General features: G+C 41.2%; 1 protein-coding gene and 1 pseudogene across 37 annotated transcripts in view, besides 2 other annotated features; both read right to left on the minus strand.

Moving 5' to 3' along the window:
* The window catches only part of OSBPL3 (oxysterol binding protein like 3), a 185,309-nt gene that overhangs the window by 105,480 nt on the left and 53,249 nt on the right, over nucleotides 1-26,580 (minus strand). For 6 of the 37 annotated variants that reach the window (XR_007060003.1, XM_047420143.1, XM_047420140.1 and 3 more), the window contains exon 1: nucleotides 16,031-16,121. The exons of 24 other annotated variants lie outside the window; for them this stretch is intronic. The gene's annotated coding sequence lies outside the window, so the exon portion shown is untranslated. Of the gene's footprint in view, nucleotides 1-14,017; nucleotides 15,241-15,940; nucleotides 16,122-26,580 lie in introns of those variants that run through there. 7 more of the 37 variants (XM_047420151.1, XM_047420144.1, XM_047420141.1 and 4 more) reach the window with 2 other exon arrangements.
* On the minus strand, nucleotides 4,016-4,608 carry SNRPCP19 (small nuclear ribonucleoprotein polypeptide C pseudogene 19; annotated as a pseudogene).
* Nucleotides 8,664-8,813: an enhancer, noted in NCBI's record as "active region_25759". NCBI's record gives its function as "activates an Ori minimal core promoter by ATAC-STARR-seq in GM12878 lymphoblastoid cells {active_cell/tissue: GM12878}" and the evidence as "EXISTENCE:reporter gene assay evidence [ECO:0000049][PMID:35858748]".
* Nucleotides 12,635-12,784: an enhancer, noted in NCBI's record as "active region_25760". NCBI's record gives its function as "activates an Ori minimal core promoter by ATAC-STARR-seq in GM12878 lymphoblastoid cells {active_cell/tissue: GM12878}" and the evidence as "EXISTENCE:reporter gene assay evidence [ECO:0000049][PMID:35858748]".

Raw genomic sequence — 26,580 nt, forward strand, 5'->3', positions numbered from 1 at the left:
AGGCCAGCCTTACTAAGTTGCTTTAGGCAAGTTTTTAGTCTCTCTAGATCTCAATTTTTCATTTGCAAAATGGGAATAATTAAAGGATCTCCCTGAAAGGGGTTGTTGAGGTGATTAGATGAGCTAATGCATATAAGACCATTTAGAAGGCAATCACATTGCTATAAGTTAGGTAGTGTAGGATGTACTGGTCACTATCCTGCACAACATCACAATAGGTATTTTACTCTTTTAATCAGAAAAACACAAAGGATATATACAAATACCCATATTACTATCATCCAAAATTCACAGGTCTCCACACATATATACCCACCATTTTTCTGGGTTTTTTTAAACTTAACTTCTTTCTGCAACTGGCTTATTTTCACTGAAAATTATTGCACACACAAAAACACACATTCTGTTCCATTCCTGCAACATGACTATGTCTTGAACTTCCTCGTTCAGTTGTTTCTGACTCTTTCCTACTAAAGATGCTGATGCAATGAACAAACTTGTATCTGCTCCCCATGAGGCTGTGATGATAATTTTCTAAAGCAAGTGGAACTGCTGCATCTTAAGGTAGGACTAGTTTTAGTTTTACTAGATATTCCAAATTGCTATTCAAAACGGCCACACCAACTTACACTGTACAGAGGCTTCTTTTAAATGTCTCTTCTATGGTCATTTACAAGAGAAAATAAATAATAATAATAATAATAATAATAATAATAATAAAGAAAGGACTCTTGAATGCCACACCTAAACGACTGGCTTATTCTTAGCTTTTAGAGACTGTGAACAGAGCACCTCCCTCTTTGTCTGAGGTACTAGCATGGACAGAGGGTCAAATTGATGGCTCACCACTGATAATCTTCAGTAGCAAGAGATGAGTATTTCTCTGTGCTTGGCTTCCCTCTATTGTCACTGTGCTCCAATTCTCTCAACTATGGACTTTTTCCATGTGCAGTATGTGTATTATTGGAGGCCACTTCAAAAACTCCGTGGAATAAGACAATGTGTAAATAAATTACTTTTTCTTAAGTTAGACAGTAAGACAAGGTGCTGCTGGGCTGTTGGCAAGATGTTCTGGTACTGGTGGTTTTCTAACTGGCAAAAACCACAATGACTTGTGTACCAACCTAATACTTGGCTTCCAACACTAGGATGCCTTCCATTTCATCTTCTGGGTGAGCCCTGTGGCTCCCAGCCTCAACTTGACAGTTCCTATGGCCACAGACATCCTTAGAACAAGTGAAAAATGAGGAAAGCGTGGACTCACACTCACAAATAATAGCCTCTAGCTCACAGAATCAGAAAGCCACATATCAAAGATACTTGCCAGTGAAGAAAGGAAGAGATCAAGAGACCCAAGTGGCCAATGTTGCTTACTACTAGCCTTTTGAAGTTCACCGATAGACAATTCAAAGCTGATAGGATTCCTGGGAGAGCGCACTTGCAGGCAGATTGGGAGAAGAAGGGAAAGATAATTTCCAAATGATTTCTATGCAAATGTAACCCTATCCTTCACCAGAAGAAATGCTATTGACTCAGATCTTGGTTTTCTACCTTGTTCACAAGGGTATCACCAAATAGATATGTTGATGAATACCTCAAGCGGACTTTTCAGAAGTCTGACATCTTCCTTAAAAAAAGAGAAAGTTGTTTGCTACACATCCACCCCTGTGTCTGCCAACACTCAATACCTGAATGCCGAGGGCTTTGCTCCAATGCTGAGTCCCTCCTCCTGGTCACATGGGCCTCACTATTGGCACATGTCCCCTGACCCCTGACCACAGACATCACTCAGGACAGTGGGTTTTGCTGTAGGGTTGACTTCATCAGGCTGTGTCCTCCCCACTGGCTACCATGTTCTCACCACCAATTTTTTTTTTTTTTTTTGAGACAGACTCTCACTCTGTCACCCAGGCTGGAGTGCAGTGGTGAGATCTCGGCTCACTGCAACCTCTGCCTCCCAGGTTCAAGCAATTCTCATGTCTCAGCCTCCCGAGTAGCGGAGATTGCAGGTATATGCCACCACAGCTGGCTGATTTTTGTATTTTTAGTAGAGATGGGGTTTCACCATGTTGGCCAGGCTGGTCTCAAACTCCTGACCTCAAGTGATCCATCCACCTCAGCCTCCCAGAGTGCTGGGATTACAGGTGTGAGTCACTGCACCTGGCCACTGGATGTTTTCTTAACAGCATGACAAGGAAGACTTACTCCCTCTTCCTAACAAAGACAGTAGTTTTGGAGGGGAGAAGTGGGACAGAAAAAGTACAGTTGAAATGTTAAAATGTAACTGTCAACTCTTTCAGTGAAAAGAAAATGTGGTATATACAGTCAGCCCGCAGTATCTGCAGGTTTCACATCCGTGGATTTAGCCAACCACAGAGCAAAAGTATTCCAGCAATAACAATACAACAATGAAAATATACAGATTTTAAAACAACACAGTACAGCAACTATTTACATAGCATTTACACTGTGTTAAGTATTGTAAGTAATCTAGAAATAGTTTAAATATACAGGAGGATGTGCATAGGTTACGTGCGAATACTTTGCCATTTTATATCAGGAACCTGAACATCCATGAAATTTGGTATTTGTGGCGATCACCGAACCAGTACCCCATACAGCTGTACATACAACAGAGTATTATTCAGCTGTAAAAAACTAAAGAAATCTTACAATGGGCAATAACATGGATGACTCTGGAAGACATTACGCTAGGTGAAATAAGCCAGTCACAGAAGGACAAATACGGCATGATTCCACTTATATGAGATATTTAAAATAATCAAATTCATAGAAACAGAAAGAAGAATGGTGGCTGTCAGGGGCTGGGGGGAGGGGAGAATACCAGTTATTGTTTAATGGATACAGAGTTTCAGTGAAGTGTTCTGATCATAATATACAGGTGTGTGTGTGTGTGTGTGTGTGTGTGTGTGTGTGTGTGTGTGAATAAAGTTAAGAGGAACTAGAACAGTGTACTGCCAGGCTCATAATCAGGAGTGTTGCACAACCATGCTGGAATAATGCCTGGAGGACTGGTATCAGGAGCAACCCAAGGCTTGCAAACAGCAGTGGTGAAAACTAAAGGGCTTTGTGGACACATAGCCAGAGCCAGATGCACAAATAGAAGATAAGCTTCTGGGTGTGGAAACTCTTCACAAAGCATCGGGGGTCAAGAGGATTGCTCCAATCCCAGTTGTTTTCCATCTTTTTTCTTCAAGGAGACGTACTAACGGGAAAGAATAAAATAACCACAGAGAAGACAAACTTGAAACCCACGACAGAGAAGAGATAGGAAATGTGCACCCAGCTCTGCTAAATGGGTTCTGGATACCAATTTAGCCCAAACAGATGAGGGGACTGAATGACTTCAGTCTTCATGGGACCTGACAGTAAGCTATGCCGGATGAGGGAGAGTGAGATAGGTATCAGAAAATGAAAATTGGGTAGATTCTGTGAAGATTATTAGAAACAGACAGGAAATTTCTGAAAAGTCTAGATCAATTATTACCAACCCTGGCTGCAAACTAGTGAAGAGCTTTTACAAAACACTGCTGCCCAGGCCCCAGCCCAGAGTCCATGATTGAAGTGGAATAAGCTCCGTAGGACATTCTGACACGCGTCCAGGGCTAAGAGTCATGACTCCATACTGATGAGTGTGGGCTCCAAAACTATTCTCTTTGATAGGAAGAGGGCGTAAGTCTTCCTTGCCATGCTGTTAAGAAAACATCCAGTGGCCAGGCGTGGTGGCTCAGGCCTGTAATCTCAGCACTTCGGGAGGCCGAGGTGGGTGGATCACTTGAGGTCAGCAGTTCAAGACCAGCCTGGCCAACATGGTTGAAACCCTGTCTCTACTAAAAATACAAAAGTTAGCCAAGTGTGGTGGCGGGGACCTGTAATCCCAGCTATTTGGGAGGCTGAGGCAGGAGAATTGCTTGAATCTGGGAGGCAGATGTTGCTGTGAGCTGAGATTGTACCACTGAACTCCAGCTTGGGTCAGACTCCATCTCAAAAAAAAAGAAAACACCCAGAGTCACAGCACCATGATCTCCTGGTGAAGCAGAACAAGTAATAGGAAACTAATATAAAGAGGCCTCCCTCCTGTCCTCATCTGCATAGTGAGTCATTCTGGGCTCAGCAGGCATCATCACGGAGCAGGTAGGAGGTTCCATCACTGGAGGCCTAGGCATCATTGGCATGTGACCTCCCATGGCAGCCTCATTCCAGGAGCAGGTCCCACTGGCATCATCCCAGGAGGAGGAGAACCCATCACTGACATCATGGGATGGCCACTTATAGGAGGTGCAGGCATCATACCAGGGCAAAGAGGAGCCGGGAGACTTGCGAGGAGGTGGGATCATTGCCCCTGCTGGGGAGAGGCAGAGAATGGAGTAGGAGGAACCTTTCCTTGTTGAAGTGCAGCCATTGTTTCGTCCATCAGGCTCTGAGCTGCTCTTCCACCCCATTCTGACAGCAGTCTTTCATATTCTCTTTGTAGATATCACTGTAGAGTATCTTTTGCACAGATGAAGAGTCATGAGTGAGGTATTTATTGCAGTAGTCACAATCACACATGGACATGTTGCTCTCCAGGCCATTGGCCACTCTGTTCCTACCACAGTGTCTTCACACATTCATCTGTTGATGGACATTTAGGTTGTTTCCACATCTTGGCTATCATCAACAGTGCTTCTGTGAACACAGGAGTGCTGATACCTCTTAACTTTAAAGTGTTGCTTACTGTCTCCTTTTCTCTCCCAGTTCCATGGGCAGTCACCAAAGTTTTGTCCCTCATCCACTTCTCTCTATGCACTTCAGCTCTTGATCATCTTTACAGGCCCCTTACCTTAGTAAAGCCTCTACACTGCTCCCTACCCCCACACTCCAGTCCCCAGCCTGGTGTTGGCCCCTGGATTCATCACTGGAACAGCAAGCCTATGCTCATTACTCCCTCATGCTGATATTAATACCTGCCACTGGCTTCCCTGACTCTGATTAAGATACCCACCCTCTATTAATCCAACCAAACTCCCTCTCCCAGAGCCCCCAGTAGTGTAGATTCTCTCTCTCCCTGACACTGACCTCATCACCCCCCAATGTGTTTTATATTCTTCTATTCTCAAAACAACCTATCCATTTTAGACCACCATTAGGCCCTGCAACTGACTCCACATTTTCTCTCCCAGCACTTCAATCCTTATATCCATTCCCTAGTTCAATTTATCGCCAGGCTCTCCCCTGCTCCAAATTCCCAATGCCTACAAGCTTAAGTAAAATAGCAAGGCCTGGCAGGCAAAACCCTCCACTACATAGTTGCATTTCACTGGTTTTGGACTCTGGATCTACCTCTCACTCTGTGGCTAAATGTCTGAGTTGCTTCGTCATGTGAAAGCAGGCATGAATAACTGTACTAACCTCACAGGGTTTTGTGAAGATTGACTAAAATAATGCATGTAAAACACTCAGCATAGTCCTTGCCAGACATCACTCAGTTACACTTTGGCTGTTATCACTCAAACTTCATCTCTAACAACTCATATATACATACCCTGTATTCTGCACTCTCCCTTTCTCCTAGTGAGTCCTTCTTTATGGAGCACCCTCCTAACCCACTTTCTCTCTTCCGTCTGTGGCAAAGTCCTCCATCTTCCGAAGATCACTTTCAGCATTGCCTTTTCCATGAAGCCTTTTCTCAACCCCTCTCCCACCCCAAATGCGTTTGTTTCCTCTTGGACTCTGCTTTCCTTTTGCGCTACCTGAAAGTATTAGTCACGTTTCCTGCACTCTGACTCACTCTTCATATCCTGACTGCTAGATGTTGGGTCTATATCTCACTCGGGACTGCATTTTATTCACCTCTACATTCTGTGGAAAGTAATTTACAAAGACTGGTAGCAATCTTTGTTGAGCCAAGGAAAGAGTTCTCAGTGTGAGCACATTTATTTATTCCCATAGGAGACTTCTGTCTTTACTGTTCACTGGAATCATTTGGGATTACTTATGTATTTCAGAATATTTCAGCTATTCCTTCCTTGTGAGATCTCCTTGCCATTTTAAGTCTTTGGCCACAAGAGACATCATTTCTCTCTTTTCTCTGACTTGTTTCAAATATTTCTAGTACCATAGAGATGTTATGCCCAAAGCATCCTTCTTTGGGGATTTCATTTCCTGGTTCCTGCCACTTTCTATCACTAGTTAATGCTTCCTTGTTGGCTCAGAAAGAAACCCAGAGCTATCATTCTCTGCATTATTTTTTCAGTCTTCTTAAAAATTAAATGATCGGCAAAACAAGTCAAGAGTTTATCAGAAGTTAGCCGAATGAAACATCCAGTGGGTGATTATCTGATTGAATCTCCTTTTTATCAGCACATGTGGTATTCATTCTAAAGTTTCAGTTTCTGAGAAGAAAGCGCCCTCCATAGCCTCTATCTGGCCATCCATAATACTGATCCTATTACAATCTTTCTTCCCTACCATGCCCTCTTTACCCAGGGATTCATCATTAAGGTCTAGATTTCCCCAAGACTGCTTCTTTACAGTAAAACATCCCCTTCTAAAATCATATTCTAGTCACGAGAACCACGCTAACCGTGGTGAGACAGATCCAGTGATGCTATCTATATCCAAGTTTTAATGTTTCAAGTTTATTTTGCTTCATTCTCATAAGCTGCACAATGGCAAAGAGCTGCAGGTATTTTACCAACCAGCTGCCCAGGCTTTTTTAAAAAGAAATTACTGATGTTCTCCTCCTCTGTTATTGGTCTTTTTATCTTTGCTCTGCCGGTTGTTCTCTAGCCAATCAAGTTTTAACGTTTTTTCCTTCCCATCAAATTTCAGTTCAACTCTCTTAAACAAGTTAGCAAATCTCTTGCCAAACACACTTGTCCTCAAAAGATGGCAAGAGCCTGCTCCACAAACCAAACTCGGCTTATCAACACTATCTGTGCTGTAGTTACTTTGCGTGTCCTTTTCAAGCACATGGTCTACCTTTCCCCAAAAAGTAGAGACATCAAACATCCCCCTCAAGTTCTCTACTTTTCTACCATGACTTCACAGAACTCATGATACATTTGAGGTTTCTTTTGACATTTAGAGTGTTTTTACCCAAACCAGTGAACGGGGTGATAACTGATAGATCTGATATTTTGGTAAGTTAGCATGCATGCCTTGGCTTGTTATCCAGCAATATCCACTCTCCCCTTCTTTAATAATAGAACTCTCGAGTTTTAATGTGGTTCATGGGCATCTAATAAGAGGCTTTCACTTCTAGCATTCTTTGCCGCTTGGTAGGGGCTTGTGACTAAGGGCTGCCAATGAGATGTGAGCAGAGTTGTTTGTCTTCCAGGTCATGGTCCTAAAAAGAGATACACATGTTCCCTGCCCTTTCCCCATTCCTGAGAGCTGGGAGGTGGTGATAGCTGGACCCAGAAATGAAAGACACACTGGTTGAAGACCATAGTGTCACCATGCCAGCCAAGGAATAACAATATCTGAACAGTTACATGAGAGAGAAATAAACTTTAATCGTGTTAAAGTTACCTAATTTTTGAATCTCTCAGTTACACAGGTATAGCACAAATAACATTGGCCCTAAGAAGCTGGCATGCCTTCAAATTAGGAACCTTAGGTCACCTCTGTACGTCTTAACAGAAAGCTGCCAATCACCTCTGTCCTGGCCAGCTTCCTGTGCCAGAAACAGGAACCTATGGCAGTAAGAATCCTTTTCATTATTTGACAAAATAAGGAAAGCTACTGTTTTTTTTTTCTTTCTTTTTTTTTTTTTTTTTTTTTTTTTGGAGACAGAGTCTTGCTTTTCTCGCCCAGGCTGGAGCGCAGTGGCGTGATCTCAGCTCAGATCTCAGCTCACTGCAACCTCTGCCTCCCAGGTTCAAGCAATTCTTCTGCCTCAGTCTCATGAGTAGCTGGGATTACAGGCACACACCACCATGCCCGGCTAATTTTTGTACTTTTTAGTAGAGATGGGGTTTCGCCATGTTGGTCAGGCTGGTCTCGAACTTCTGACCTCAGGTGATCCACCTGCCTCGGCCTCCCAAAGTGCTGAGATTACAGGTGTGAGCCACCGTGGCTGGCCGAAAGCTACTATTTTCAATTTGAAGGTGTGTATTACCCTGGCCTGAAATAATCCCAAATGCTCAAAATAGGATAGATGGTAGACATCCAATCTTCAAATCATTTTCACCTTCTCCAGCAAGCCAGCCCCTTTCATGTTGCATTTATCACCCACGTGGTCCCAAGAGTCACTACAGATCAGGATGAATCAATGTTCTGAATGGAGAGAGATGAGTCCATAGGTCCTATGACAACTCCTCCATTCCTGAATGGAGAAATCAGAAATGGGCTGAGTTTTCCTCCTCCTTCTGCAGCTTAGCTACTCTTACTTGTCCTTCAACACCTTACAAGGAAGAAATACTTATGAATAAATGTGGGCTAATAAAGGAAGCTACAGTGGAAAGACAGGTGGCAAAAAGAAGACAGGCACACTGATGAAAACTCAATTCAGTATATATCCTATAAAGTAACTACTATGTGTCCACTGCTGTGCTAACCCTTCAGTGATGGAAACTAAGTGACAGAAACTTAATCCAAGGAGGAAACCACTGTGATCAAGGAGATAAGATGTCACAAATGAAACAAGCCAGAACACACCCCAGGGTGGGCCATCTGGTAGGTGCTATGGGCAGTCACAAGGGAAGAGCTCAGTGGGGCTGGAGTTGTGAGAAAAAGCTTAGGAAGAGGTGGCCTGCAGGGAGCCGTGAAGATGTGGATAGGGCTTGACTAGGTAGAGAGAAGCATGGAGGACAAAGCTGTGAGCTGGGTCGGGAGGGGCACCTCCTGCAACATTTCTCAACCCCGGCTGCGTGACAGGATCACCCTGGGAAGCTTCTACAAAATCCCAAAGCCTGGTGCCATTTCATACTAACTGGTCCAGACACTGGGGATGAGGCCAGGGCAAGGGCATCCTGAGACACTCCCAGGTGATTTGGATACACAGCAAGGGTTGAGCCACTGCTCTAACATAATCTTGCATCCAGAAATGACAGATTTACTCCACAGAACTGCCTTCTTTAATTTTGGTATTTAATTTTGTTTGAGCATCTTATGCCAGACCTATGTCTGCTGCATCCAATTTATACCAAATTGAAATGCAAAGCAGGATGTGACTTAGCAGTTTAAAGGGTAAGAAAAGATAGCACCACCCAAGAACTTAAAATAACATCTGGTGGTTTGAATTTTATCAGTGGGTGTTATTACGCTCCCTTAACCGACAACTGCTTGCGGAAGCTTGGTAGAGTTTTAACAATTGGCAACCACAGGCAGCATTTCATTACTTATCTAAAAAGACTATCAATTGAGTTACTATGAAATGTGAGCATGAAGTTTTAAAACTTCCCTATTTCCTACAAAAATCAACTTATCATCTTTTCAGAAATGTAAACAGCCAGCTAACAATGGGTAATGCTCTATAAGTGCTAACTGAACACTCTCAAATAACAAGAAACAAAATACCCTAGTGGGTCATGTATCAGATGTACACACTTCAAGTTTGTTTGTCCACTTAACTAAAAATAACCCTGGGACTCAGAATCTAAGCTTAAACCAAATTCTATAAATCGAAGTCCCCAAGATATATTTTGGAGGTATCCTTCCAAAACTGCAGGGGCGATAATAATTCCTTGTAAGAGAATCACTAATTTAGGGAACATAGGTGGGGAGAAAAAGGGATACAGGAAGTTTTACTCACTTCTAGGGGAAAGAAAGATTACTGCAAAAAACTTAACCTGAGACACTTTTAAACTAGTGCAAACTGGAAAAAAGAGAGACATAAAAGGAAAAGGCAGAGTAAACAGGTTTTAAAAAGGTGGGGTGGTTACTGGTAGACTAGAGCTAAAAGGCAAGAAAAACCTAAAAGCACCTCTGTTCCCAATGCTAACAATGACATGGTTATTTTATTCTCTCCAGTAGAGTGTATAGATCAAAAGCAATTTGAAGACTGTCTCATCCTTGTTTTTGTTTTTTCTTAATTGACACGGTAGGTAGTAGGTTATTTGTTTATCAAATTGATAACCTGTGTTCCCTCCCCTTCACACTAGCTACTAGAAGGTTTTTACTAAATTTTATCTCCGAAGTAAGAAAATATTCTCAAGTATCCATTTATCAAACTTTAAAAATTTGTGGAAAGATAGATCCTAATTCTTTAGGAGTTTACATCTAGTAAGAATGTTACCAAAAAATAATAGTTCATAGGAATTACAAATCAGAAAATGTAAGTCAAAATGTGGGATGTAAGTAATGTGTTAAAACTCTAAGCTGGATTCCATCAAATTAATTTTAAAAATCAAATTCAGCAACCAGGGCCTTGATCTTCCTTGCATATTCCCCTATGTTGCAGATTCACTGCAGACATCCATTGATTTAGGGAGTTTAGCACATTAAGGGCATTCTAATAAACCATTCTGTGCTTACCGTTTTTCATCAAAGAACTCTGAGTACTATGCAAAAGGCAACTCTCCCATCCTCACACCCAAAGACAGAACAGCCCCAGCACAGAACAATGACAATCATAGCTCCTGAAAATGAGAAGCACCCAGTCTCCAGACCCAAGGCAGACGTCAAGGCTTATTTATGGCTTAGAGCAAGCTGATGCCAGTTCTGATTCATCATTACTGGGTGTGGAAGATGTATTTTTCAAAGACGACCATACCAATGTACATCCCATCCCACATGCTCCTCTAACAAAGTGACCGTGACACTTCTTCATCAATAGATGGCTTCTATATTCCCATCCTTCAAATTTGAGTGGCTTCTAATTATGGCAGAAATGATGCTTCGTGACTTCTGAGGCTGCATTAGAAATGGCAATGTAACTTCCACTTGTCCTGTTGTCTCAGGGTGCTTGCCCTTCAACTCAGCCACCACGATGTGAGTAAGCTCAAGCTAGCCAACATGGAAAGAACACATGGAGAGATCCATTCGGAAAAGAATGGCGACCGCCTCACCTCAGCCGATAACCAGCATCAACCCGCAGACATGTGACTGAGCAAGGATTCAAATGTCCCAGCCTCCAGCCTTCCTGCTGTCCCAGTTGCCAGTGAGTAGAGCAGAAACTATGTCTTTTCATCAAGTCCCACCCAAATTAAAGATGTCAGGGATACATAAATATTGTCATTAACCTACCAGTTCATCGTCATTGTCTCAATTTACCAAGTTTTGGGGTTGTTTGTGACACTGCATTAGATCGCTGAAACCCCAGGCAGGAAGCCCTGGCAGACCTCCAGACTCAGCAGGTGGGAAGCATGAGAACATGGGGTGAAAAAGTCTCCTAGGTAAGTCAGCAGCAACACTCTCTTCTCCTGTCCCTCAGGCTAGCAGGCTCCTGCTACCAGAGCATCCCACTCCTGCTGGGTAGGTCAGACTCAGAAGGGGGCTCCTTGACCAACAAACCCTGACTCCCTTATAAAGTCACTTACAAGAAGCAGACACGGTCTAGTGTGGGGGCCAATCAGCTGACAAAGGCCGGTATGTGTCTGATAGTGACAGACACATCACAAAGTGACACTGGGAATCTAGGACTGGGCACAAAGATGAAAAGACACATGAACCCCTTAAAAACCCTGGAAACATTCCTTTCAGCCCAGACCTCAAAATTTCTCCCTTATCATTTGGCATTTATCTTCATAATAGTTGAAGCTGTGATTGGGAGTGCATTGTCATGTGGTAACTGAGCCACAGAGAAATTAAATATCTTACTAAGGTAACAGGGTCAGTCAGTGGGGATACAACTAGGACGAGGACAAGGACCAAGGACCGTATCCCATCAAAAACATACACCCAGAAATGGAAAACAGAGCTAAAGTAAAGTAAAAGTTCTACATATATGCATTGAAACTTTCCTAAGGAGCAGATTCATTACGAAAGAGTCAAAATCGCAAGCACCATTCAATCCTTTGGTAAGAACATGCAGACTCTTGGGTGTTGGCCAGAGGGTTGTTCTTTTAATATTGCAGTGCAAAGATCTAGTTCCCACCACAAATGGGCTTCCCTGAGGGTTATCAACAGGATACCAACAAGGCAATATGGAAAGCAGCTTGTCATCTGAATAGGAACAGAAGAATGATTGAAAGTAGAGGTAACAAGGGAGAAGAGACAAGAGCCCAACTCTTAAGGCTGGAATGAACCCCACAGGATCATGGAAAAGAAAAGATCAGCACCCAGACCAGAGCCAGCCATTGGACAGCAGAGCCAGTATTGGACAGCAACAAGTTCTACCAGCCAGTAGCATCTACTAGCCAGTAGAACTTGATGCTGTCCAATACTGTAGCTTCCAGCCACTTGCCCCAGTGAGCACATGAAATGTGGCCAGTGCAACTAAGAAACTAAATTTTAAATTTTATTTCATTTTAAATTATTGAAATTTACATAGCCACAGATGACTGGCATCTGCTATACTGGAGAGCCCAGTTTTAGACCATACCATTCTAAACCACTTATTTTCTCCCTTTTTTTTGTAGCACAAAATGGGCAAACCTAGACACATTTCTGCCTCCTGAAATCTTCCAGGTGTGTCCTGCTCCACCTCCTCTGAAAAAGTCGATGGCTGGTGTATATCTGAGTCACCACAAAGTAAGATGGCCAAAACTTAAGTGTGTGAAGTCACATCTGGGCAATTTTCTTTCCCATTTCCTCTATTGTCTGGATAAAATGAAACAAAAGATGAAACAGGCTATTGGTTTTCTACATGAGATCAGCAGGGTTTTTTAGTAAAAAGCCCAATGTAAACTTACAGGTACTACAAACTGTGTCACCACAAGAGATGAGCTGCCCTACAAGGACCAGACCCTCCAGCTCATACAACTTCAACTGGAAATCGTTTAGGAATGGTTTATAAGGACTGCTCAGTATCAAGACAACAGGCTGTCAGGCAAGGCAAAAGATCATACTTCGTAACCAAAAAAGTTATCAGTTAAAAAAAATCAGATGCCAATTTTTTGGTAGATGAAAGTATTTGCCACTTTCTACTATCTTCAGATGGCAACCAAAACCTACCATCAGTCAGCCAAGTGCCTTTTCACAGTGGGCAGGGAGAGAGAATGAGAAATCTTTTAAGAGGGTTCCCACACAGCTCCACAAAGCTACCCAATAATTCTCATTTGGCCTGCTGGAAAGTTGTTAATCTGTCAAAGAAAGAAGAAACTCACCAAGAAAATAGCTGATTCTCCAACATGTAAGTTTTTCCATAATCTGACCCCTGATTTACCAACTCAAACTTACTTCAGCCACTACCCAATAGAGTTCTATCATTTCAGGCAAAGTCTTTAAAATTCCCCCATGGAAGGTGGGCATTTTCATAAATTGCTAGTAGACTAGAAATGTGAACAACCTCTTTAGAAGACAGTTTGGCAACAGAAAAGTTGTCTTTCAAAAATAATAATCTTCCAAACATAATAATCCTCAAACATGAAATGTTTCCAAATTCAAGGAATATGGCACCCAAAACCCCTTTCTTTAAAAAAAAAAAATTCACCATGTTGCCCACCAAACATTAATTTTTTTTTTTTTTTGAGACAGTCTCACTCTGTCACCCAGGCTGGAGTGCAGTGGTACAATCTTGGCTCACTGCAGCCTCTGCCTCCTGGGTTCAAGCTATTCTCCTGCTTCAGCCTCCCAAGTAGCTGAAATTACAGGCAGCTGCCATCATGCCCAGCTGATTTTTGTATTTTTAGTAGAGATGGGGTTTCACCATGATGTTGGCCAGACTGGTCTCGAACTTCTGACCTAGTGGTCCACCCACCTCGGCATCCCAAAGTGCTAGGATTACAGGCGTGAGCCACCATGCCCAGCCCATTAAATTTTTAAGAATGAAAAGCCATAGTAAAAAGACCAATGGTTAACAGTACATTGATTAGGAATAAATAGGTGGAGGGATACCCAGGGGAAATTAGAGCTACAGAGTGTTAAAAGTATAAAGCCTAACAAAACAAAAATAAAACAAGCAGCATACATCAGAAAGCCAGGCAGGGACAAAGGGAGAAGGCACTCGATGTTTATCATGTTGTCCTGTTATTCTCAATCCATCCTGACTCCCAACCTTGTGATGGTTTTCACCTCTCTTCTGAACCTAAGAGAACAAATACTCTTATGCTACAGAATTACTTTTCAGAAGATGGACAATTTCTTTCCCTTTTGTTAAATTCAAGATCAAATTGAATGTTTTACTTTTAAAGCCATGTTTTGTTTGAACTCAGTCTTACACAATTATTTCTGCCCATCATTTATCTACCCATCCTTCTGTTCCTCTCTCACAGTATGTACAGAGGCATGGCTGAAATAAATGTTAACATTTGTTATCTTCCGCTTGAGCTTTTTTGGGTAATATTTTACTTTCTCCTTTGAACTTTTTTTTCTTTTGCCTAATTTTTTTTAATTAAGAAAACATCAGTGAAGTAAAAATAAAACAGCAATTACCTTTCTGGCTTGCATGGTTCTTTTTCCATTTGTTCACCTGATCTGTGTTTCTCTTATTTCCCCCAACACTCCCCAACCTCAGATTCTGACTCATATACCTCCATCAGTCTTCTTCATTCCCTGACCCTCTTCTCTGGCTGTGTCTCAACTGTTGGAGAAACATTATGTGCCATGCTCTAAGGTGAAAGAATCTGCCTAATATCATTCCTCCCGACACCATCATCTAGTAGGGAAGTGTAGAAACCTCCCGATAATGTAGATAAGAAAAAAACGTGGTGCTTGGGTATTTTCACTAGAGATGTAAATGGAAACTTCCCATGCTGGGATTCCCAGCTGTGCTGCTGTTACACCACAATGGTGACATATACCAACACACACAAACCAGGTTTACTGGCAGCCACTAAGACGTCTTCCATTTCCACCCCCCCCAACCTTTTTAGAAAATTAAATAAATAACTCCTATTTGATGACTTAGAAGAAGGAAGGAAGGATGGGTATATGGGTAGAGAGAGGGAAGGAAAAAGAATTCCCAGGAGTAGAGGGGGCTGCACCCATATTTGTAACTATATACAATTTGCTCTACCACAGAACTCCAAGAATGCATTCCAGTGACAACAAGCTTATCTACTACCCCAGCACCATTATAGTGGTCCATATTTTGTTTATTCTATAGCAGAAGTCAGTGGTCATGTTTTCCATAGGTCATCCTCCTGCCTCTTCCTTGTTCTCCATCTTAAGGGGTGTGCATCAGAGCAAAATCTGCAGAAATTGAATTTTCAAGTTCACTATATCAAGGATTATCAGGCACCATACAGACTGCGCAATACAAGTAACAGATTTTAAAAACCCAAATATTGATATCCTGGAGCATAGGATATTTGTAACATATATATATATTTGTAACATATATATATATATATATATATATATTTGTAACATATATATATATACACACACATATATATATATATACACACACACACACACACACTTAAACAGGGAGTTTCATCAATTTTTTTGTAACTCCTAATTTAAGCTCTCACTTTTGTGGCAGTTCTTAGAGAACAGACACAGTCAGCTTCTATGTTATGTATCAGCAGACATGACCTTTCTTAGAAACAGCAACTCAAAAAGACTAAAGAATAAGACTTCATGTCTGAGAAATAAAGGCATTACCCTGAACCATAACTATGCAAAATATGCCCTGGCAAGTACTAGTCCCAGAAGGCTCTCTGTGGGCTAGGGGGAGACTCCAGAGACTAGTCATCTTTGGGAAGTCCTGCTCTTAAACATTCACTCTTAAAGACACCATGTAACATATGTTGGCACATTAAAGGCTCTGAGAAACCCTGAAGTTAAACAACAAAAGCAGCAACAACAAAACCTGAACCTGTTAACTTGGTTGAACTCATTCCAAATCTATTTGATAATGGAATCCATTCTCTGAGGCAACACTTACCCATTTACCAAGATTCCTTCAGCCTGACGATCCTGTCTAGCTTTCAAATTCAGTGATCCTATGAGTCCATAAAATGACTAGCACTCTTACCTATAAAGGTTGGCTTATCCTCGACGCACATAATGACAAGCACAGGTGCTGTTTCTCAGTGTGTATCAGGCTCACAGCAGCCAGTAATGACACCTGGATACTCTTTGTTTACAGTTTCATGTACAGACCTGAGAGGTCAAGAGAGTCATGAGAAACTGACCATCACATAAACACCATAGCAATGTTCAGAAGCTGGCAGTGTGCTTTCCTACTTGACCCTATCCTCCCTAAGTTTCCCTCCTTGGTTCTCATGACCACATAACTGTGCCATCCCCAACATCCCACTCTCCTCTCCACTTGCTGTTTAAACTTTACTACTCACACTCAATCCTTCCTATTTCAGTCTGGAATTACCCCAGAGAGAAAACATCTAGATAGAAGTATGTATTTGGAAGAAAGAAGTGCCACTCGAGAGAGTTAAAACACTAAGTCAGCTGGATAAACTACTCATGAAAATCTTGTGGAAAATACCTCATAATTAAATATTCACACAACTGTTATGTGGGCTTACTTAGAAACATATGTACAAGCAATTAACTTTATATTTACCCAAGCAAATAAGAAAATGGGATCAACATTTAGTACTCACTTAACAAATGTTCACTAATCACTTACCATTGGTCAGGCACAGTTTTAGACACTGGAGATAAGGCAGTGAACTTAGTCTGAAACATTATACAAATATCACAGCATAGACTAGAAAATTCAGTAATTCCAATTCCTATGATGACCCTGGAGAAAATACTTTCTAAATGGAAGAAGAATGATTTTAAGGAAGAATTTAGAATCGTATTACAAGGTACCAAGAAAGCTTCTGCATCCATGAGAAGGGGATAGAAAAGGCAACAGACATAAATTTTGTAACTAACATTTCCCAGGTACAATGCTAGATGCTCTTACATACGTCACATTATTTAATTCCCCGAATTACCCTTTGATTTGGTAGAGTTTCATTTTATAGTTAAGAAACAGAGCCAGTGGCCAAATTTTTGGAATATGTCTGATTCCATCCAAATCCACACCTTTTATATAAATACCGAGCTTAGATCTGAAAATGAATTCATGGCCACTTCAAATAGCATTTCCAATATGACTTCATAATGACAAAGAAAAGATATCTCAAAATATGTGTGGGAGAAGGACAGACATCAGCATCACATCAAAAAATAATCTTTTCGAAGTTGGAGGAGTCACACTTTGTGATTTCAAGTTACTACAAAGCTACAGGCACCAAGACAACGTGTCCTAGCATAAAGACAGACATACAGATCAGTGGAATAAGATTGAGAATGTAGACATTAAGCCCTCACACTTATGGTCACTTCATTTTTGGAAAAACGGCCTAGATAATCCAAAGGGGAAATAAAGGTCTTTAAAACAAATGGTGCTGGTGCTGGAACTTGATATCTACATGCAAAATAATAAAGTTGGGCCCCCTACCTCACACTATATACAAAAATTAACTCAAAATGGACCAAAGGCATAAATGTAAGAGCTAAATCTATAAAACTCTTAGAAGAAAACATAGGGGTAACTCTTCCTGACCTTGGATTAGGTGGTTTCTGATATACGGCACTTAAAAACACAAGCAACTAAGGGGGAAAAAAGTGATAAATTGGACTTCATCAAAATTAAAACATTTTGCACTTCAAAGGGCAATATCAAGAAAATAAAAAGGCAATCCACAGAACGAGAGATAATATTTGCCAATCATCTGATATGGGTCTAGTATGCAGAATAAAGAACTCTTACAACTCAATAATAAAAAAACAAATAATCCAATATTTTAAACAGGCATATAACTACAATAGACATTTCTCCTCCAAAGAAGCCACAAAAAATGGCCAATAAGCACATGAAAAGATGCTCAATGTCATTAACCATAAGGAAATGCAAATCAAAACCACAATGATGTACCACTAAAATGTTTATATAAAATTATTTACTTAACAGACAATAACAAGTGTTATCAAGGATGTGGAGAAACTGGGACCTTACACAGTTTGATGGGAATGCAAACTTTGGAAAACCTTCTAGCAGTTCCTGAAAATGTTAAACATGGAGTTACCATGTGACCCAGCAATTCCACTCCCAGGTATAAACCCAGACATATGAAAATGTATGTCTACATGAAATCTTATTCAGGAACGTTCATAGTAGCATTATTTATAATAGTCAAAAAGTAGAAAAAGCTAAATATCTACTAACTGAATACATAAATAAAAAGTAGAATATCCACACAATATTATTTCAGCCATAAAAAGGAATTAAATAGTGAGTCATGCTACAACATGTATGAACATGTAAAACATTACACTAAGTGAAGGAGGACAGATTTTTTAAAGGCCATATATTGTATGATTCCATTTATATAAAATGTCCAGAATAAGCAAATCTATAGAGACAGAAAATAGAAAAATGTTTGCCAGGGGCTGGCTAGAGGCAGAAGGAAACAAAGTAATATGGAGTTTCTTTTTGAGTGATAGAAATTCATTAGATAGTGGTGATGGTAACATGACTCTGAATATACTAAAAAATATTACTGACATACATTCTAGAAGAGTAAATTCTGTAGTATGTGAATTATATCTAAATGTAAAAATCCCTTGAAAACTCCAACAAGGAAGTTATGAAAACCCCACCAAGACTGCTTTAAAATAGCAAGCTCAGTTGAAAACAAATGACCAAATAAAATCAACATGGGACCCTGTGATTTCGGATCAGCCTATATAAAGCCTATTGAATCTATACCATCTAGTGAACTCATGGAAATGAAAGAATTAAACAGCAAAAGTCAGAGGTCAAATTCAACTTCTACACATGGAAACACCTGTACAAATTATGATAAGACTTGTCAATCCTGCTGCCACATTAGTCATCCTAGAACTCACTTGAGAGGTTGTTGACAATTATATCCAGTAATGAACCTGGGGTCTTCTAAGATCCCAAAGGCTTTCTTCTATCCCAAGAGGCAGCACCAGCTTAGATCTCTGAGCATTTATTTATGTGTAATCCAAGGTCTAATGAAAATCTTTACAGAATGACTAAAAGCCTAATCTGGATGTGACATGAAAATGACTTTCAAACTCTGAAACAATTGGTTGATCTTTGCTCTATATGCTTGCTTTACATTTAGCAGTGACTCAAGCCCACATTAAAAAAAAAGTTACAACAACTCTAATTCTCAGAAATACCACGATGTAGGCTAAAATAGATACACATATGTACACCCATATTCACACAAACCAACCCATCACGAATCCAAAGAATGACATAGGCTAATGAAAAGCCTGAACTGCATTGTCTGCAGACAAAAGAACAACATGAATAGGGCAAGCACAGATAATCCCAACTTTTGAGGCTGAGTTCCAAAAGGTAATTGTAAATCACCTCTTTGACACTACTCAAAACACATTTTTTCATAGACGTTTGGTCATGTGCCCAGGCCAGCCCAGAGAGGCCTATGCAATGCACTTAAAGCTAAACACGCCTTCCAAGGTCAACTCCAGAATGTAGCTCAGAAGTGGCAGCATCCTGGCTGCAGCAGCAGGAAGTAGAAACAGTGTACCCTCTAGGGTACCTCTCAGTTACCCTAAACTGAGGAGCAAATACAGGGCGTGGTCCACATTGGGAATCCCATCCTACTCCCACTGAGACATATAAATCCTTAACAAGGGATCTCTAAAGGCTGAGAGAAGGACCTGGCTTCCTAGTACTATCCCAGAGTTCTAACCTCAGTACAATTCTGCTAATTTGGAAATGAAAACAAACAAGAGTTCACATTATGGGATTTTAAAGAACCTTCCATTCTTACAGAGAGCCAAATTGCTGGATTTTTCAAAAATGTATTTTGTAAGGAAGATACATGAAAAGTAGATTAGGAAAAGTAGATTCGTGACTTTTGGCAGCTTCTCAACATCTATGATCAATACAGATTCAATTTTTCACCACCTTTATGTCTCACGTCCAGCCAAGAGGCTGGTACACAGCAGCCACCTCAAAAACGCTTGTGGAATCTCTATACTTCTAACATTGTTAGTATTGTGAATGCAATTTACTTTTTAAATACTGTAAAGTAACTTACATACAGTGTGACGGGGATTAACAGGATTGGCCTGGCCTCAGAAAAGACATTATTTAGGTGAGAAACAGAAAATAGAAGGTTAACAAATACAAACTACAAGCACTGTACTATCTGGACTGTGTTACAAAAAGTCCTAGAAGGGCACAGTGAGGGGGACTGGGGAGAGCACAAACTTTCGTGTTAGAAAGGTGGCTTGTCCTTACCAGCAATGTGACCTTGAGCAAATCTGCTTCCTTGTGCCTTGATATTCTCAACCAGGGAACAATTCCCTCTCAGGGGAATTGTATGGCTGAGTGACCAGCGTGGGAGGGAAATTAAGTTTTCGGTGGATACTGTGGTGCTTTTAGAGTTTGATTCTAGAAACATGACTTTCTCATTAAACAATTAAATACATAAAATGCACTATGTGATTCATCATTACAGTAAACCCCAAGGGAAGTGTGTAAAATGCCAGGCTGCTCTCCCTAACCTTTCCTCCATTTCCTTATGCCCTCTTCTTGTTCTCCTGTGACTTCCACAGACCTGCCAGCTCTGCCCTGGTCCTCAGTCTGACCTCATTCTAGCCTGACCACCTGCTTCACAGCCTTGCTATGAACTCTGTTCTTTGCACGTAATCCCCTAGTCCTGCTTCAGGCTTCAGGTCAAGGATCTCTGTCCAACCCTGTCCCTGCTGCCCTCACCCTCTTGGTGAAAGTGACAGACCACCCTCTCAGGGAGAACCACAGGGCTAATTCTGATTCCAAAGCAAGCTTATTACTTTAGGGTCGATGCAGCAAACAAACAAAAAAGCAAGTTTGCTTACAGTTTTGGCAGTCGAAGAAAAAAAGGAAAAGAATAAGAAAAAGAAAAAAACATATAAACATGACCATCAGAGATACTCTACACTATAACCACTACATACTTCCCCGCCCCAACACACACACAGAATCAGAGGTGGAACCAATTAAGCGAATCTTCCTCAGTTCAGAACAGCAAATCTAATCCTAGAAGATAGTTTCCATCAATCACAATAGGTTATCTATCTAGAAAGGGCCATCACTAGGCCCACAGAGGAGCCCAAGCATGCCTGTTGACCTCTCTCTACAGAGTGGAGCTCCTCAGGACTGGGGAGTCAGAGCTAGAAGAGCGTCTCTGCTCCTCAGCAACCTGCTCCTAGAACCAGCCTCTTCCACTCTCAGGGTGAATCAGCATCCAGGTCTGTGCCTCATGTCTCCCTGTCCACTGGAGTAACCCCAACAAAGGGTAGCCACTGTGCTGACCTAGCTGAGCCAACCAGATTCCCTTCCTCAGAACGTGGAAGTATTTCGAAGTTAGACACACAGGGACCTAGGCAGACTCTGAAGACCACTGAACTCAGTAGATGGGTAGGACTGCCAGGGCAGCTATTTTTAACCATGAGCTGGGCAAGCAGGGATGAGTATGGGACGGCAGGGCAGAGAGAGGGAGGGAGAGACTAAAAGATAAGAGAGATTGACAGACAGGAGTCCCAGAGAAATACAGAGTGTGAGGCACAGAGACAGGCAGACAGACAGCACGCACATGCAATGAGACAGGGGCAGGCAAATAGAAACCCAAAGGAGACCAGGAAGATGCGGAGCTGCAGTGGGGCAGGCGGGCGGCCGGGTGGGGAGAAGAGAGATCTTCATGGGGCTCTGTCTGCTGAGTGGGAGGCCCTCCTGTGTCACAGCAGTGCTTCCTGCTGCCTGCCAGGGGCTCTGAGAGCTGCCCCCTTGCATCACTCCAATCAACCCTCTCTTACCTGATCCAGTCTATTTCTCACTTATGAAATCTAGAAAAACAATTTCAAATATCAACACCTAATGAGAAGCAGCACTGGCAATTTTGACACATATTGTGGATAAATAAGTTAAAATATCTGGGAAACCTACTTGGCTATCACTAACAAAATTCTATAAAATATTGATACCTTTGGACTCAATGTTTATAATAGGAAAAAGTGTATACAACCTCAATGCCCAACAGTAGAAGAAAAGTTAAGCAAATTAAGACCAAAATACGTTTACTTCATGTGGTGAATAATATCACCTCTAAAAAGATTTATGGTTAAGAGAAAAATGCTGAATATAAAAGTACATAGAACTATGTAAAAATGTACACTGAAAATAAAGACCACAAGAAAATACCGAGGGAGATAATAGGAGGCCACATTTGGGTGGCAACGCTAAGAGATTTTTTCTTCCTCTATACGTTCTCTGTATTTTCAACATTTTTATAATGAGAATATATTCAAGATGATATATTACGTAAAAAACAAATAGAATAAAGAGCGAAAAAGTAGTAAGAGTCTAACTCCGATACACTTTTGTACTTGTGACTTTCCTATTGCTATGATACCCAGTACGGATTCCTACACAGAACTGGTTCTAAGAATTGCCGTCATCTGGCTAAGCTTCTTCCCGGTATTGCTATGGTGACATTTACTTAGTAAACATTTCCTCAATGCCTGCCCACTTTGTACAAGGTTGAGTTTAATGGCTGCTGATACTCTGATGGGCTACTCGCTACCCATACTTTCTGAGACAGCCAATTCCATTTTTAAGTGTTTGGGTGACACTGATTATCTCCAACTTAATCAGCTGTCCTGAGGCCTGTATGAGCAGCTCACTGATCTGACAGTAATCAGAAGGCTGTTAGATGCCCAACAAGTTTCCCTTATTCTTGAGATACTTAGACCTATAGCTGCTCACGGTTCTGCCTAGCAGTCACATTTGTCCCGGCTCAGGTGGTCTGCTTGTCTTCCCTTCTTTAGATAGAATAAGAGTCAACTATATATAGCTGTTACCCTTTTTCATTTCTTTTTTGTGTGTTTATACACTAAGAAGACAAGGGAGAAGGCATAGCAATTCATCATTTTTATATGTCGTTCTGCTCTTTGTAAGAGCCAGTGGAACTATACATACAATTAACATTCAAAAAACGTTACTAAAGATTTCTAAATGACATGACCACAGAATTAGGTGTTTTAAACACCATGTATGTTAGCACAGAGTTGGATTTAAAAAGCCAGCAGCTGAAACAGAAATTATCCTGGTAGACTGTTTACAGGCCTACCGCTGTGATAACAAACCTCCCTCAGCCCCTTCAACATCAACCCCAGAAGCACATGTAGAGGGTGGGTGGTTAGCCTTCTGGGCTGACACGGGCATGCACATCTGACTTTGTTATTGTTGTCTGAGTTTTTGGAACACTGGGGGGTGATGTCTGCCTATAATACATGTGGCCAGATGTCTTTTCAAGAAAAGAAGAAATATCCCAATTCCAGCCGGAATACTCAAAGACCCAATACAGTTTCCCCATCTTTCCTTGCTGGTTCTTATTTAATAATAAAATCTGTCTTCCTTTTAAGCAGCCAGTGGACAGGCCTGTTTGAGGCAAGACGCACTAAAATGTCTCAAAGGAATTCTACAAAGATGGCTTTCCTTTCAAGTTTAACTCCTGAGGAATAAATCCTTCTCTGCAAGAGCATTCTCTAGTTTCTCAGGGCTAAACATGCATTCAGCAGTTCCTATTTTGATTGGAACGTTTCATCGCTTTTCTCTATCACTGTAGCAGACAGAATCACTGAATTGTATACAAGAGAAAACCAGGAATAAAGAGATAGGTCCTACTGATGGTGTATTCAAAGCAAGCTTTCTCCTTTAAACCTCAATGTTGCTAGAGTGAAGAAAGTCGGCTGGCTAGCTTTATTTATTTCACCCAGATTTGTGATGTGGAAAAGGTTGAACAGAATAGCAGTTTTAGTTTCCACGGATCACTATAAGACAAGATGATATAACTGGAATTAGAAATATAAAGTTTATCTTGTTTCATTAAAAGGATCCTTAAATAGCTAGAGATTGAAATCTTATCAGCCTTCAGTTTTGCAATGGTGTGATGAAGAGGCAGACGCTACTATCAGGCAGTTCCCATAACAGGGCTAGGTATGCCGTGGTCATTGGATCCTACTATTTCTTTGTGTCTAGAACAATTACCCCTCAGGTGTACTGAATTGGGGATGATAGTGACCTACTGGCACCTATAGAAGTAGTGTTTATAAGATGGACTCCATTTCATACAAAGCTTTCCAGTTTTCAGTTTGAACGTGTAGGGTTATGCCATGCCCCTGATCAAGTTTCTTTAGTGGATATTCATTACCTGTAACAAATAAGAGGTCATCTAGCTGCAAATCAGAATCATCCATGGACAATGTAAAGAAAAACAGATGCTCAGGACATGCTCTACCTGAGTATTCTAATTCAATGGTCCCAGGATCCAGGTATAAACATTTTTTTAAAAAAAGCTTTCCAGATGATTGAAATGCATACGATTGAGGACTACTGGCTTGCAAGAGGAAGTCTCTGTGTTACATACAAGGCTCAATTACCCCCACTTTTCAGCTGACATTTCACCTTCCAGCCACACAAATCCACTTGCAGTTCTCTACAGACTATCTCCACACCTTTGTAGCAGCCATGCCCACCCTTACTGTGGGCACAGCAGAGTGGCCACTGTATAAGGTCGCAGCTCAAATGAGGCCTTCTTGTCCATTTCTGCCTAACATCCCCAGGCTGGCATGCACCAGGCTGCCCTTGCATATACCTTGTATATATATTACAACACTATTACAATAAAGATACTTACATGCTTCTCTCCTACCTGAACTGTAAGCTCCTGGAGGACCTGGTCTCTATGATTCCTATATCCTGCTGCCTAGCAAAACACCTGTCATATGATAGGTACTCAAAAAATTCTTGATGAACTAATAATTGCATCCATGTAAATAAAACCAATGTAGTCAATGTTGTAAGAAACAGACTGCTGGCATTATTTTGAGTTGAATGGAAGAAAATTGGAATGGATATAATCACGAATTTTTATTCAAATAGATTTTTTTGTAGTGAGCTTTGGATTCCAAGAGTTACTTAATCATCCTCAAGCATGCTACAAGAGAAAATGCTTGGGGATCTTTGACTCAGTTAGAAGCAATGCTGCTTCCATTGTATGTCTGGAACTCATTTCAAGAGGATTCGTATGTCTTCACTTCTAGTCCTAGATATCTCTGAAAGAAAACCCAAAAGAAAGAAGCCAGCAGGGGAATTGACAAAAACGAAGATATATTTTATGTGCAGTTTAGAGTTTTCTGAATAGCATTTTTATAAGGTACAAGCTTGCAGGCCTTAAAATATGACTCAGAACACCAACTGTGATGCCAACGTTTTTATTTTTAGACTTTTTAGCAGAGAATATGGCAATAAATCCAAGCTACTCAGTCTACAAATCCTCTAAACTTCCTCCTAGAGAACAGAATAGCACTTGGCATTTCTTGGGGTATTATTTTACTTGCATATATAGTTATGCTAGTAAAATTTTGGTGACTAAAGAAGAATTAATAACTGAAGCTCTCAATGATTCCCATGATTACTGCTTAAGTTGGCAAAATATCCTCAGGCACAGAAGAAGCTTGCTGATGAAAATGTGTATGGGTGGATTGTTCAGTTTTTTTCACCGTGATACACTTGCTTGTAGTTATGTCTGTGTTCTGAGACAAGTGGTAAGGGCATAATAACAGAAGGTTTACCATTTTGAGAGAGAAAATAGGACTACAGAAAATTCAATGGCATGATAAAAATATTTTACACTTTATACCAACTGTGCTTTGCTGTTCCACACCTTAGCTTCTCACTACCCTATCTCTTTTTGTAAAGAAAAAAAATGCTTCTTGAGGTATAATTTATATCCAATAAAATGCACCTGATACGGTTTGGGTCTGTGTCCCTGCTCAAATTTTAATCTCCAGTGTTGGAGGTAGGGCCTGGTGGGAGGTGATTGGATCATGGAGATAAATTTCCCCTTTGGTGCTGTTCTCATGATAGTGAGTATTGTGAGATCTTGTTGTTCAAAAGTGTGTAGCACCTCCTCCTCTCTACCTTCCTCCTGCTCAGGCCATGAAAGATGTGTCTGCTCCCCCTTCGCCTTCTGCCATGATTGTAAGTTTCCTGAGGCCTCCCGAACCATGTGTCCTGTACAGCCTGAGAATGGTGAGCCAATTAAACCTTCCTTTTTGTTTTTTTTTTTTTTTGAGATGGAGTCTCGCTCTGTCACCCAGGCTGGAGTGCAGCAGCACGATCTCAGCTCACTGCAAACTCCGCCTCCCAGGTTCACGCCATTCTCCTGCCTCAGCCTCCCGAGTAGCTGGGACTATAGGCGCCCGCCACCACACCCGGCTACTTTTTTGTCTTTTTAGTAGAGACGGGGTTTCACCGTGTTAGCCAGGATGGTCTCGATCTCCTGACCTCGTGATCTGCCCACCTTGGCCTCCCAAAGTGCTAGGATTACAGGCATCAGCCACCGTGCCCGGCCACCTCTTGTCTTTATAAATTACCCAGTCTCAGGGTATTTCTGTATAGCAGTAAGAGAATACAGCACCCCTTTTAAGTGTACAGACTGATGAGTTTGGAGCAAATGT

The sequence above is a fragment of the Homo sapiens genome, chromosome 7 (genome assembly GCF_000001405.40).
Source record: "Homo sapiens chromosome 7, GRCh38.p14 Primary Assembly".
NCBI classification, from domain to species: domain Eukaryota; kingdom Metazoa; phylum Chordata; class Mammalia; order Primates; family Hominidae; genus Homo; species Homo sapiens.